The sequence below is a fragment of the Homo sapiens genome, chromosome 22, assembly GCF_000001405.40.
Source record: "Homo sapiens chromosome 22, GRCh38.p14 Primary Assembly".
Lineage (NCBI taxonomy): Eukaryota > Metazoa > Chordata > Mammalia > Primates > Hominidae > Homo > Homo sapiens.
In genome coordinates this window covers 21943635-21955568 of record NC_000022.11, presented here as the reverse complement: position 1 = coordinate 21955568, position 11934 = coordinate 21943635, and the positions used below count along the sequence as shown (strand labels likewise).

Below are 11934 nucleotides of genomic sequence, written 5' to 3'. Positions count from 1 at the left end.
TTCAAGGCCCTTGGCTTCCGCAGCTTGATTCTGCACTCCGAGTCCATTCACCTTCTCCCATCCAATAGCATCCAACCCCGCTGCTACTGCTGCCAACCTGGCCTTGGGAGCAATGAGGACAAGGAAGGGACAAGACCCCTTTTAGGCCAGAACTGCCTTCAGATCAGCCACGCTCCATGGGACTGTACCTCTGCCCTGGAGGCTGGAGAGGTCAGTGGCTGCAGACTGTCTCAAGGAGCCCCTGGCCCTGCCCACCTAGCCAGGGGTGCAGCCTTGCCAGAGAAGCAGAGAAGCGTCTGTGGCTGGGTGGGTGATATTGAAAGATTCCTTTCACCAGGGTGGAAGCCAGGATCTGAGGCGTGATGGAATGTGGACAGTGAGGCAGTGACAGCGCCACAAGGCAGGAGTCATCTCCAGGCACGTCCTTGGCCTGGAGCCCATAGGGACAAGCTCCTGGTGGTGCCTCACTTTGCCATCCTCTCTAAGCCGCAGACCTTGAATGGAATCAGTGCTCAAGAGTCTAATTGGGCCCACTCTGAGGATGCCTGCGGGAATATCAGCTTTTACCGCACCACACTGCACTTTACAGTGTGGGAGGGCCTGCCCCACGCACCACCTCACCTGTACTGCGGTTCTCAAACTTCACCCTACAGCCATTCTGTTGTAGGTGATCTCAGGGGCAGTTTGAGAAACAGTGGCTCAGGGTCTCACAGCAGCCCTCTGAGATAGGTTGGTTGCTATTGTCCCGATTTTTTCTCATCAAGAAACTGAGGCTCAGGTGAGCTAAGGAATGTGCCCAGGGCCACTGTTTATAAGAAGTAGCCTCAAGCCTTGCTCATGGTTACTGCCCTGACAGGGATCTAGGAAAGAGTGAGCAGGAGAATGGGATGAGGCAGGACCCTCCGCCCCAGCCCTGCTTTCTCTGCCCAGACACCTCCTGCCTTGCAGACCCAACCCCACCCCAGATGGTTTCCTTTCCAGTCACCCAGCTGCTAGTTCTCCAGGTTCCTGGTCTCACTCCAGGTTCCTCCTGTTAGAGAAGCATCCCAGAGACATTCATTCCTGGCAAGGACACAGGCCTGCGGACCTGAAGGTCAGGTGGGCAGAGCCACATAAGATCTGGTGCCCCATCCTCCATTTAAAAAATTATACTTTCCAACGGCATTGGTATAAAGGTGAATATATTAATATCATATATTAAAACATTTTCTTTGACATAAAGGTTTCTTTCTTCTGCCTTTAAAATAAAATATTTTGGCCAGGTGTAATGGTTCACACCTATAATCCCAGCACTTGGGAAGGCTGAGGCAGGAGGATCACTTGAGCCCAAGAGTTCAAGACCAGCCTGGGCAACATAGAGACCCTGTCTCTACAAATTTTTTTTAATCAGCTGGGCGTGGTGGTGCTTGCCTGTGTTCCCAGACACTAGGAAGGCTGAGGCAGGAGGGGAGGGTCACTTGAGCCCAGGAGTTTGAGGCTGCAGTGAGCTGTGATCATGCCACTGCACTCCAGTGTGGGCACCAGAGAAGGAGCTTGTCTCTAAAAAGAGAGAAAAAGAATATTTTCAAGAGCCTCTGTGTTGGCAGAAAAATGGCCCTTCAGAGATGTTCATGTCCTATACCTGTGCCTGTGTTAGATTACATGGCAGACCCGGCATAGTGGCTCACGCCTGTACTGTAATCCCAGCACTTTGGGAGGCCGAGGCAGGCAGATCATTTGAGGTCAGGAGTTTGAGACCAGCCTGACCAACATGGTGAAACCCCATCTCTACTAAAAATACAAAAAAAATTAGCCGGGCATGGTGGTGCGTGCCTGCAGTCCCAGCTACTCGGGAGGCTGAGGCAGGAAAATCGCTTGAACCAGGGAGGCAGAGGTTGCAGTGAGTCGAGGTCATGCCACTGCAGTACAGCCTGGGTGACAGGGTGAGACTCCGTGTCAAAAAAAAATAATAATAATAATAAGGGGCAAAGGGGAATTAAGGTTGCTAATCAACTGATTTAGAGAGATGATGCTGGACTATCTGGGTGGGCCCAATGGCATCAGGAGGGTCTTTAGAAGTAGCAGAAGGAAGCAGAGGAGGGAACCAGAGGTGGCAGTGTGAGAAAGGCTCAACTGGCCATTGCTGGCTTCGAGGCTGTAGGAAGGGGCCACGAGCCAAGGTATGCAGGGAGCCCTTAGGAGCTGGAAAAGGCAGGGGAACAGTTTCTCCCCTAGAATCCTCAGAAAGGAACGCATTCTGGCGATCCCTGGATCTTCGCCCACTGAGGCTAAGTGGACTTCTGACCTCCAGAACGGAAAGATAACAAAAGCCTCAACGTTTGTGGAAACAAACAACTCATAATGAGCCTGGGACTGTGCCTCCTTCCCGGACGGATGAGCCTGCCTGGGCAGTCTGGGTTTGCATCCCTGCTCTGTCACTTACCAGCTATTGACGGCAGAAGTTGCTTAATTTCTGGGCGCTGTGACCTAGGGATTGCTTTCCCCATCCAGCCGCCCACCCAAAGCTGCAGAAGAGAAGCAAGAGGCTGGTGACTGGGGCGGCTCCGGAGCCCAGGTGGAGCCGCAGTTCGCCTACCACTAAAGGGCCGCAGTCACCGTCCACGTAGCCGCCAGGGGGCAGCAGAGGTCCGGCCCCGCCAGCCTGGAGGCCCGACTGCGCCTGCGCGGCGCCCGCGGCGCCCGCGGCGGCCAGGGACGGGAAGTGGGCGGGGCCGGCCGGCAGCAGCTTGCGGGACACGGAGCCGCGAGGAGACAGCTGAGGCCCGCGGAGACCAGGGGTGAGGAGGCCGGGGGGGACGGGATTAGAGGGCTGACGGGGCTGGGACGAGGGTCAGGCGAGCGCCCAAGGCGCACAGGGGTGAAATGGGACCGAGGAACCGGAGGGGTGGAATCAGAGGGCTGGGGAGGCAAGGAGGCCGAGACGAGGCTCACATGGGTGCACCGAAAGGGTGCGGGGGTGCAGTGCGGGGGGCCGAGGAGCAAGAGGGGCCGCTGCGGACATGAGGAACCCGAGGCTGGGAGTTGGGGGGCTGGGGAGCCAAGGGGGCAGAACTGGGGGGCAGGCGGGGGTGTGGCCGAGCCGAGGGCCTGGTAGGGACCGAGGGCTATGAGGCAGAATCGGGTGCTGAGGGGGACGCGCCCCATTTTCCGAGATTTGGCCTCTCCCCACCCCCCAGGAGCCTCTGGGCCGGCACGTTGCCCCATATCCCCCCAGTCCCTGCACCTTCAGGGGCCCAGTCTGCCTGATGGCCCCCGGCTCCGCGGCCTCCCAAGCGTCCGTGAAGCGAGCGTCAGCTGCACAAGTGCTCGGGCTGCAGCTGCTTCAGCCACAGGTCTGTGAGCCAGAGCCTCAGGCGCGGAGGCCGGGCACATTGCCGCTGGGTTCGGTCAGGCAAGCCCCTGAACCTGTCTGTACAACAGGAAGAACTGGCTCCGGCTGCAGGGATTTCGGCACAGCGCTTGACACACAGTGAGGCCCACTGCATGGTGGCGGGCTCCTTCGAAGCCTTCCACCCTGCGGGACAGAGTCACACATGTCGTGGTGGCATTCCCCGGGACAAGTTCTCTGGGCCCAGCTGAGCTCTCACCACGGGGGATAGAAAGTGGGGCCGGCCAGCACTCTGAGGCCATCTCCAGTCTCTTCTGTTGTCAAATTTCGCTCTTTTCCTCCTGCACGCGAGGTGGAAATACCAAAGGCATTGGGCATCCAGAGACCTTGATTGAGTTCGCTTTGCCCTTTCACCTGTGTGAGACCTTAAATGGGTGCTTGCCCTCCTATAACCTATTTCTTCATCTGCAGTGTAGCCTGACAGTATGTACTTCTCAGCGTAGTTGTGAGAGGTAAACAAAACGAATGCATTTCTGAAAGCCATGAACCTCTACACAAGTTCATTTGTGGAATTCCTTTAAGATACCCCCTGAAGGCCGGGCGCGGTGGCTCATACCTGTAATCCCAGCACTTTGGGAGGCCGAGGCAGGCATATCACCTGAGGTCAAGAGTTCCAGACCAGCATGGCAAAATCCCATCTCTACTAAAAATACAAAAATTAGCCGCGCGTGGTGGCAGGTGCCTGTAATCCTAGCTACTCAGGAGGCTGAGGCAGGAGAATTGCTTGAACCTGGGAGGCGAAGGTTGCAGTGAGCTGAGATCCCACCATTGCACTCCAGCCTGGGCAACAAGAGCGAAACTCCCTCTCAAAAAAAAAAAAAAAAAAAAAAAGGATACCATCTGACCTGAAGCCAACCGAGTCTTTTAAGACCTGGCGCTGCTGCCCACTGCACCCTTCAGAGTGGTGTAGCTTCCTCAGCCCATGCCACCCGCCAGTCACTCTTCCCTCTGCCATCACACTTACCACCTGCTGTACACAAAGGGCCATCGTGGGCTCCCTGACTACAGGGAGCTTACAGTCTATCAAGAAAGTCAGGCCTGTAGAAAGAAATGGTCATTGCACAGCAATGTGACTATGCTTAATGCCATGGAACTGTACGCTTAGAAATGGTTAAAAGGATACATAGTGTGTATATTTTACAACAATAAAAAAAATTTATATATGTAGAAAAAAAATCTAGGATTTACATCTAACTATTATTAGTATTAGTAGTTATGAATAAAGAAATAAGAATCTCTTTTGGTAGAAAAAGGTTGGCCAGGCGTGGTGTCTCATACCTGTAATCACAGCACTTTGGGAGGCTGAGGCGGGCAGATCACCTGAGGTCAGGAGTTCGAGACCAGCCTGGCCAACATGGTGAAACCCCATCTCTACTAAAAATACAAAAAAATTAGCCAGGCGTGGTTGTGGGTGCCTGTAATCCCAGCTACTAGGGAGGCTTAGGCAGGAGAATCACTTGAACCTGAGAGGCGGAGGTTGCCGTGAGCCAAGATTGCGCCACTGCACTCCGGCCTGGGTGACAGAGCAAGACTCTGTCTCAAAAAAAACAAAAACAAAAAAAAACAGTTAACATGAATGATGCTTTTGTTACACTATAGTGGTGCAGTTCCCTTTTCTAAGGATTGCTGGGTTTTTTTCATTACCTTGGTTCTGCAGTTAAGCAAGACTCAACAAGTATTTTTTCTATGTCCCCTAAAAAACTGCAGTTGTTAAACCCTGCATTCGTTAAGCTTAGGAGTCAAAACTAATGCACTAGAGGAAAATAAATATTTTAAATTAAAAAAAAAAAAACTTTTTACAAGTCAGATGTGAGCAAAAGTGCCATAGAGACATGAAAGAGAGCATGCTGGATCCAAAGATGGGGAGATTTCAGCAAAGCCTCAAAGGATCTGAGAGATCTCGGGAGGCAAAATGGAAGGAGGGCACCACAAAACAAGGAGGGGAGGGGCTGCCCTAGGGTGGGGGGTACACAGAAATGGAAGGAGGAGCCATGAGAGAGCCAAAGCCCAGAGCTGGTGGCCAATGAGGGACAGGTCAGGGATAGAAGGAGTCAGAATGACTTCCCAGGTGTCATCACAGTTAAGGCCCAGGTTCCCCAGCATGAACCCCACCCTGGGACTTTGGGCAAGTTCCTTAGCTCTTCTGCTACAGCCTGCCCTGTGAAGTGGGGATAACCACAAGAGGTTGTTGGGAGGCTAAAAGCCATCCCAGGAAGAGTGCTCAGAGCAGGGGCGGATGGCAGCTGGCAGCACCGTCAGCCACACCCCTGCAGCTGCCCCCCGATGAGTTTGCTTTGCCATTTCTCACCTATGTGGGACCTTAAATAGGTTCTAGGAGGGTGAGCACCCATTTGGTGTGCAGTGGGGCCCTGATCCAGGAGGAACCAGCTGCCAGTCGCATTTGGTCAGACTGGTCCAGGCAGGCGGTGCTGGGATGCAGGAGTCCAATGTCCCTCCCATGCCCACCCCGGGCTCTTGGTGATTTGCACAGGCTCATGCACACGTCCCTCTTATTCGGAGTTTTTCACTGGTGTGCCCTGCTCAGGAAAGCCCAGCACCAGGCTCCGCTGCCTCTGGTGCTCTCCCAGCTCTCCCTACTCCCTGCGGCTTGCCGCTGGCCTCCATGCCATTCCTGATGCTGTCTCTTCCAGTTGATCCCTCAAAGAACCACAGCACTGTCCCCTGCCCCTCCAGGCACTCCCAGGGCTGCCTCTGGTTTCCCTTGGTGAGGAATTTCTCCTTCCTGCCGGGTGTGCCATGGTGTACGTCAGATTCAGGAGCTTATTGGGAAAAGGAAGGAAATGATTCCTGTCCCTTTCGACATCTGGGCTCCAGGGAGAGAAAGCTGTGTCCTGGTTTCTCTCCTCACCCCTTGCCTTAGGTTGGTGATGCAGAAACAAGGGTGCTTGGTCCCCAGCAAGTAAGATGGCCCTGGGCACCCTGCCTTTGTAACAAGAGCAGGCAGTTGGCACAGGCCCTGAGAGTAAGCCAGCCTGTCCCCTCTACAGATGCAGACAGAGCTTCACACACACACATCATCACACCCCCCAGACCTTACTTAGTACACATGGCACAGACACCATTGAGGCATGTGCAGATAGTGGGCACAAGGCACAGAGAGAGCAGGCAGGTGGCCACAGTGAATCAGGGTCTGTAGTGCAGACAGGAGGAGCCACCCTCCCTGAGGGAACAGGCCGATTGTGGGGAGGGGCTCACGGCACAGGAAAGAGTACCCCAAGGTCAGGAGGCAAGAAGGAGGCACCTGCATCCCAAAAGGTCCAGCAGACGTCACCAGCAAATGGGGTGGAAGTGAAGGGTCTTGAATTCTGCCCTTGACAGTGGGGCTTTACACTGTGGGCAGGGGTTTCTCCAGGGGGGCCCTCTGTGTGCTCTAGCGGGGAGCATGCTGTCCTCTCACTTGGATCCTAATCATAAATTCACATGAGCACATTTTGTGGTGAGACAGTAGAGCCTCCAGATCACTTGGAATTGCAAGGGAGTGGGAGGAGGCCCCAGGCACTGGCAGTTGCTGGGGGCAGCTCTGCATCGTTCACATTCTCCCAGAAGCTCCAGGGGCCAGGGCAGTCCCAGGCAGAAGAGGGGCCCTTGGCCGCTTGCACTGCTTGAGGGCAGCCAAGCTTGCTGGGAAATTCACGCCATCTTCGAATGCCTTACAGCTCTGCTGGGGCATGGCTGGCAGGACGTGCCGCCTCCTCATTGACCTACTAGGGCTCCCAGCCTCTGCTCATTTCTCCAGCTCACAGTCTTCCCTTTGTCGTTTGAATGTCAGTGTCCCTCCTGCTCTCAAAGTGATTTTTCCTTTTTTGCTTTATGTTCTTTTTTTTTCTTTTTTGGTAGAGATGGGGGGTGGGGGGGGGGTGGCGATCTCACTGCCCAGGCTGGTCTTGAACTCCTGGCCTCAAGCACTCCTCCTGCCTCACCCTCCCCAAGCGCTGAGATATAGACCTGAGCCACAGCGCCTTGCCAGTTGTTTTATGTTCTTTATCCTTTTACCTGCTTGCCTTCTGTAACCTGGGTTGCATTAAATTTACTCCTACTTGTGAGTAAATGTGAACCATAGCAATAAATTTAGTCTATCCCCAGAACCTTCAGTAGCAAGCACCCCTATTCCTACGTTATTTGTATGTGTCCACTTTAAATAAATTACCTTTCAATTCTGCCTCTAAAAGAAGAGAAGGGTTTTGTGTTTTGTTAATTTACCACCCTTCACCCCTTGCATTCCAAATCCCTCACTGATCAGACATTTAACTTGGTGCTGGGACCTTTCCCTCTGCCCACCCCATTCTCTTTTGTGTTTTTTATCTTTAGGCTTCCAGAAGGCTTGTTCCAAGTTAGCAATTCCTGATAAGGACAGCCCTCTTGTGGGCTGTGAGCTCCCTGCATCTCTTACTTCCCACTCTCTTCATCCTGCACCTCAGGCCCCTGCCACAGCCGCCCTTTTAGCAAAGTTTGTAGGCAGAGTCTGTGGCTATTCTAAGACTGATGATTCTAGAAGATTCTCCTTGCCTTCTTCGTTCAGTTTTCAGAACCTGGAAGTCCTCATGAAGGTGATGGGCTGTGAAACTGTTCCCCAAATTCTCCACCCTAGAACTCGGGGTGTTCCTCAGAGTCTCATGTCCGTTTGTCACCATAAAAGAATGCAGTTTTTCTCCCTGGCTTAGTAACTGTGTAGGATTTCTTTTTTATTTTTTTCTGGATCCAATCTCATCCACTACTGCGTAGGACTCGCTGAATAAAGTTTCCCAGCCTGAGTGTTAGACAAAGCCCAAGGTGGAGTCCCCGCTGTGGGGAGGGTTTGGAGGGGTCAGGCACCCGAGAGGAAGGGGGCAGGAGAGAGAAGGGTCCATGCTGAGTGGGTGCTGGCAGGGAGGCCCAGGTGTGGGGCCTGGAGGTGAATCCCCGGGGCGACGCAAAGAACATGGAAGGGGGGGCGCTGGAGAGCTGTTTGGGTATAGGCAAGGCAGGCAGGCTGGGGAGGCGACTATGGAGATTCGGAGTTAGGAGAGAAGAGGAGCCAGAGCCACCCTGGGAGGAGGCTGTGAGGCACCATGTGCCTCTTTCCAGTGAGAGAGAAGCCGGTGAGGGAGTGAAGGCACAGGCTTTGCGATCCCTCTTTGGCCCTGTCTTCCTTCTGACACCTCAGGCGAGGGACTAACCCTCTCCAAACCTTGGGATTCTCATCTGTGAAATGGGGGCTTGTCCTGGCTCCTGGGGTGTTAGGGGCAACTCCCAGGGCTGGTCAGCTCTGGTCATCCCTAAGGACTTAGGGAGGAAGAGCCCACATGCCGCACAGTGGGGTCAGCGCCTGGAACTGTCCACAGTGCCCCTCTTCCAGCCAGGGCTTAGCAGGCCTGAGCCATTCTAGGCTCACAATTCCCTCCTCCTATTAGAGAGCATTGAATAGGCTCGATGGTGTCCCACAGCACCTCCTGTCTGTCCCAGATTAAACCTCTGCTTCTCTCCTGGCCACCCCTTGGGTGGCCCCAGCAGCCTCTGGGGATCCCTTCCTGCTCCCACTCTGGCCTATCTCCAAAACAGCCCTGGGCCGGCCTCCCGCATCTTGGCCCTTCTCTTTCCTCCCCTGAACACCACTAGAGCCCCAACAGGTGTCCCTCCTGCCATCTGGTCACCACGTCCAGGCTCACAGACCTGGTGGCTTCACTCCCTCACCTCAGAGCCCTCCTGGCTGCTCGGGACCCGTGATCAGGTTGAACCCCCTCACCTACCTCAGTGCCTGGCCTCGGCATCCCTGTCCTGCTCGTCTCTGGCCACGCTGGCCACCCTCTGCCAGGAACAGTCTTCCTCCTCTGTCACTTCTTGACAATGTCCACCCAGCTGCTGCTCCTGGCACCATCTCCTGAGACCGGATCTCTGGATGCCCACAAGTCCCCACCTGGACTCATGTCAAAACAGTGGCCAGGGTTGTCCCTCCACCCTCTAGTGGCCCTGAACCATGAGGCCATGCACCTGCCACATGGTGCTTGCAGGTGGGCACCTGCATTGCTGGTGCCATGGCCCCCTGATTCTGCTGACTCTGACATTTCTCCCCAGGGTGAAGCCTGGAGACCCTCTTGCCCTGGCCTAGCTGCAGGCCCCCGGGATGCTTTGGGCATGTCCTCTGGAGCCCCACAGAAGAGCAGCCCAATGGCCAGTGGAGCTGAGGAGACCCCAGGCTTCCTGGACACGCTCCTGCAAGACTTCCCAGCCCTGCTGAACCCAGAGGACCCTCTGCCATGGAAGGCCCCAGGGACGGTGCTCAGCCAGGAGGAGGTGGAGGGCGAGCTGGCTGAGCTGGCCATGGGCTTTCTGGGCAGCAGGTAGGCCTGTGCACCCCCAAAGGGGACGGGGAGTAAGGGCACGGCACCAGGGCCGACAAGGGATGTGGCTGCTGCTCCCCTACACGTCCAGCCCCACACGGGGATCTGCAGCCCCGGATCCCTATGCAGCACCATGTGGAACTCCCGTGGCTGCTATGGCAAAGCACCACACACTGGGCACTCAACACAGCCAAAGCTCATTCTTTCACAGGGCTGGAGGCCAGAGTCCAAGATCAAGGTGGCAGCTGCGCCATGCTCTCTCAAAGGCTGCAGGGAAGAGTCTGCCTTTCTGTTAGTGCCTGGCCTTGACTTCCTGGAGGTCCTTGGCTTGTAGACTCATTCCTCCTAGCTGGCCTTGTTGCACACGGCATCTCCCCATGTGTGTGTCTGTGCCTTCACACCTCCCCACCCTGCCTGCTGTGTGTCTGTGACTCCTCCTCTTGTAAGGACATGGGCATTTTGGACCAGGGGCTGCCCTCCTACAGTGTGATCTCATCTTTCTTTTTGTGGAGAATGGGGTCTCGCTATGCTGCCCAGGCTGGTCTCGAATTTCTGGGCTCCATGGATCCTCATGTTTTTGCCTCCCTAAATGCTGGGATTACAGGCATGAGCCACTCCAGCCAATGTGACCTCATGTGAACATAACTAATTACATTTGCAAAGACTTTAACTCCAAATAAGATCATATTCTGAGCCACAGGGGGCTGGGGCTTCAACATACCTTTTAGGGAACACAATTTATTGCATAGCAGCTGATAAGCAGTACGTCCTGTTTCCGATCCGTGTGATGGACGAGGAGGCAGAGGTGGGTAGATGAAGAGGCTGGCCTGAGGCCTTACAGTCAAGGAGTGGCAGAGCCACATGGCACCCCAGCCACCACGATCTGAGAGATAGCTGGCACTGTCCCCCTTCCACAGGTGAGGAAGCTGAGGCACAGAGAGGTAGCACAACTAGCCGAGCAGATTTCGGGGAAGATAGAGAGTTGGGTGTCCACCGGCAGACAGTGTGTAGCTGTCGCCTAGGCTGAACTCAGAGGTCCTTTCCTTGGAAGACCCTTGCCCTCCCCTTCATTTATTCATTCATTCTGGAAGCATTTGTCCCATGAAAGATGGTGAAGGACAAGGTCTTTTCTCGAACCCTCTCTGCTCAGACAGGGTCTTGGAGTTAGGCTGTCTGTCTGGCACAGGGGACAGCTCATGGAGGTGAGCAGGCTGGTGGGCCGCGTGCTGTTTCTGTGAACCTAGTCCCTTGCTGAGGGGATGTGCGCATGGTCCCCAGTCCCAGCATCACCCAAATCACCTGAAATATCACCTGAAGCCATGACAGGCCCTCAGCCATAGCTCCCTCTGACAGAGCCACCATCCTCGGTGGCTGCCTCAGTATCCCCCAAGTGTGCACTTCCTTTGCCCCTTGCAGCGAATCAACTCTGTTCCTGACACCCACCAAGGGCCTATTTTCCTTGACCCCAGGCCCTAGCAGAGTCAGTGACTTGTGCTCTCCCTGTGCAACATGGGCACAAACATTGCTAAGTGTCAGCCACATGCAAGGGCTATGCCACCCAGCATCCCCCACAGCTGCCTAGAGCTCAGGAGGAAATGTCCGGTGACCACGCTCCATGAGGTCATGGCATGCGCAAAGGGTGTTATTGGCTTGTTTTGAGGAAATATTTTAGATATGTGGCACAAAGTGAATCAGCCCCCAGTGGTGGAGCAGAGTGGGCCCAGCAGGGGTGCCAATGCACGGGAGGTGAGGAAAGGCCTCACGTTCTGCCTTCTTGAGAGGAGCAGGTGGCACTCTGCAGGGAGCAGGGGAGTCCAGACCAGGGAGTTCTGCAGCCACTGGGTCTTCGTGGAGGTGGCATGGGGCCATTGCTGCCTTGAGGCAAAAAGCCAGGCCCGGGACAGAAGGGTTGGTGCACTTTGGCCCAAGCATGAGGTGACCGGGCAAAGCCAAGCGGTGCCAGCCCCAAGCTGGGGATCAGATGGAAAAGCCATCCCGGGGAACAACAGAGCCCAGGGGTTTGCTGGGCCTGCGTGGGGCACAGGTGCTGAAGACGGACAGGCCGCAGCACCGGGGTGACAACATCAGCCTTCAGTTCCTGGGCAGGGGGAGAAGGGCGCAGAGCAGGGTCCCAGGGAAGGATCCAAGGTGGGAGGGCCTGGAGGGCTGAGGAGTGAGTAGGCAGTGCAGGTGACCTGCCCAGGAGGG

The 11934-nt window shown here is 55.2% G+C and overlaps 1 protein-coding gene across 2 annotated transcripts in view, besides 4 other annotated features; it reads left to right on the top strand.

Moving 5' to 3' along the window:
* Window positions 2529-2938: a silencer, noted in NCBI's record as "silent region_13519". NCBI's record gives its function as "represses an Ori minimal core promoter by ATAC-STARR-seq in GM12878 lymphoblastoid cells {active_cell/tissue: GM12878}" and the evidence as "EXISTENCE:reporter gene assay evidence [ECO:0000049][PMID:35858748]".
* The window catches only part of PPM1F (protein phosphatase, Mg2+/Mn2+ dependent 1F), a 33424-nt gene continuing 24210 nt past the window's right edge, over window positions 2721-11934 (top strand). The window contains exons 1-2 of one of the 2 annotated variants that reach the window (NM_014634.4): window positions 2721-2777; window positions 9461-9726. In NM_014634.4, the coding sequence (NP_055449.1) occupies window positions 9521-9726 (206 nt within the window). In that variant the 5' untranslated portion in view covers window positions 2721-2777; window positions 9461-9520. The remainder of the gene's footprint in view (window positions 2778-9460; window positions 9727-11934) is intronic. The other variant, NM_001410836.1, reaches the window with a different exon arrangement.
* Window positions 2932-3452: an enhancer, noted in NCBI's record as "H3K4me1 hESC enhancer chr22:22306489-22307009 (GRCh37/hg19 assembly coordinates)". NCBI's record gives its function as "activates a minimal SCP1, AML or CMV promoter by ChIP-STARR-seq in primed H9 embryonic stem cells {active_cell/tissue: H9 hESC(primed)}" and the evidence as "EXISTENCE:reporter gene assay evidence [ECO:0000049][PMID:30033119]".
* Window positions 3499-3568: an enhancer, noted in NCBI's record as "active region_18712". NCBI's record gives its function as "activates an Ori minimal core promoter by ATAC-STARR-seq in GM12878 lymphoblastoid cells {active_cell/tissue: GM12878}" and the evidence as "EXISTENCE:reporter gene assay evidence [ECO:0000049][PMID:35858748]".
* Window positions 11135-11634: an enhancer, noted in NCBI's record as "H3K4me1 hESC enhancer chr22:22298307-22298806 (GRCh37/hg19 assembly coordinates)". NCBI's record gives its function as "activates a minimal SCP1, AML or CMV promoter by ChIP-STARR-seq in naive H9 embryonic stem cells {active_cell/tissue: H9 hESC(naive)}" and the evidence as "EXISTENCE:reporter gene assay evidence [ECO:0000049][PMID:30033119]".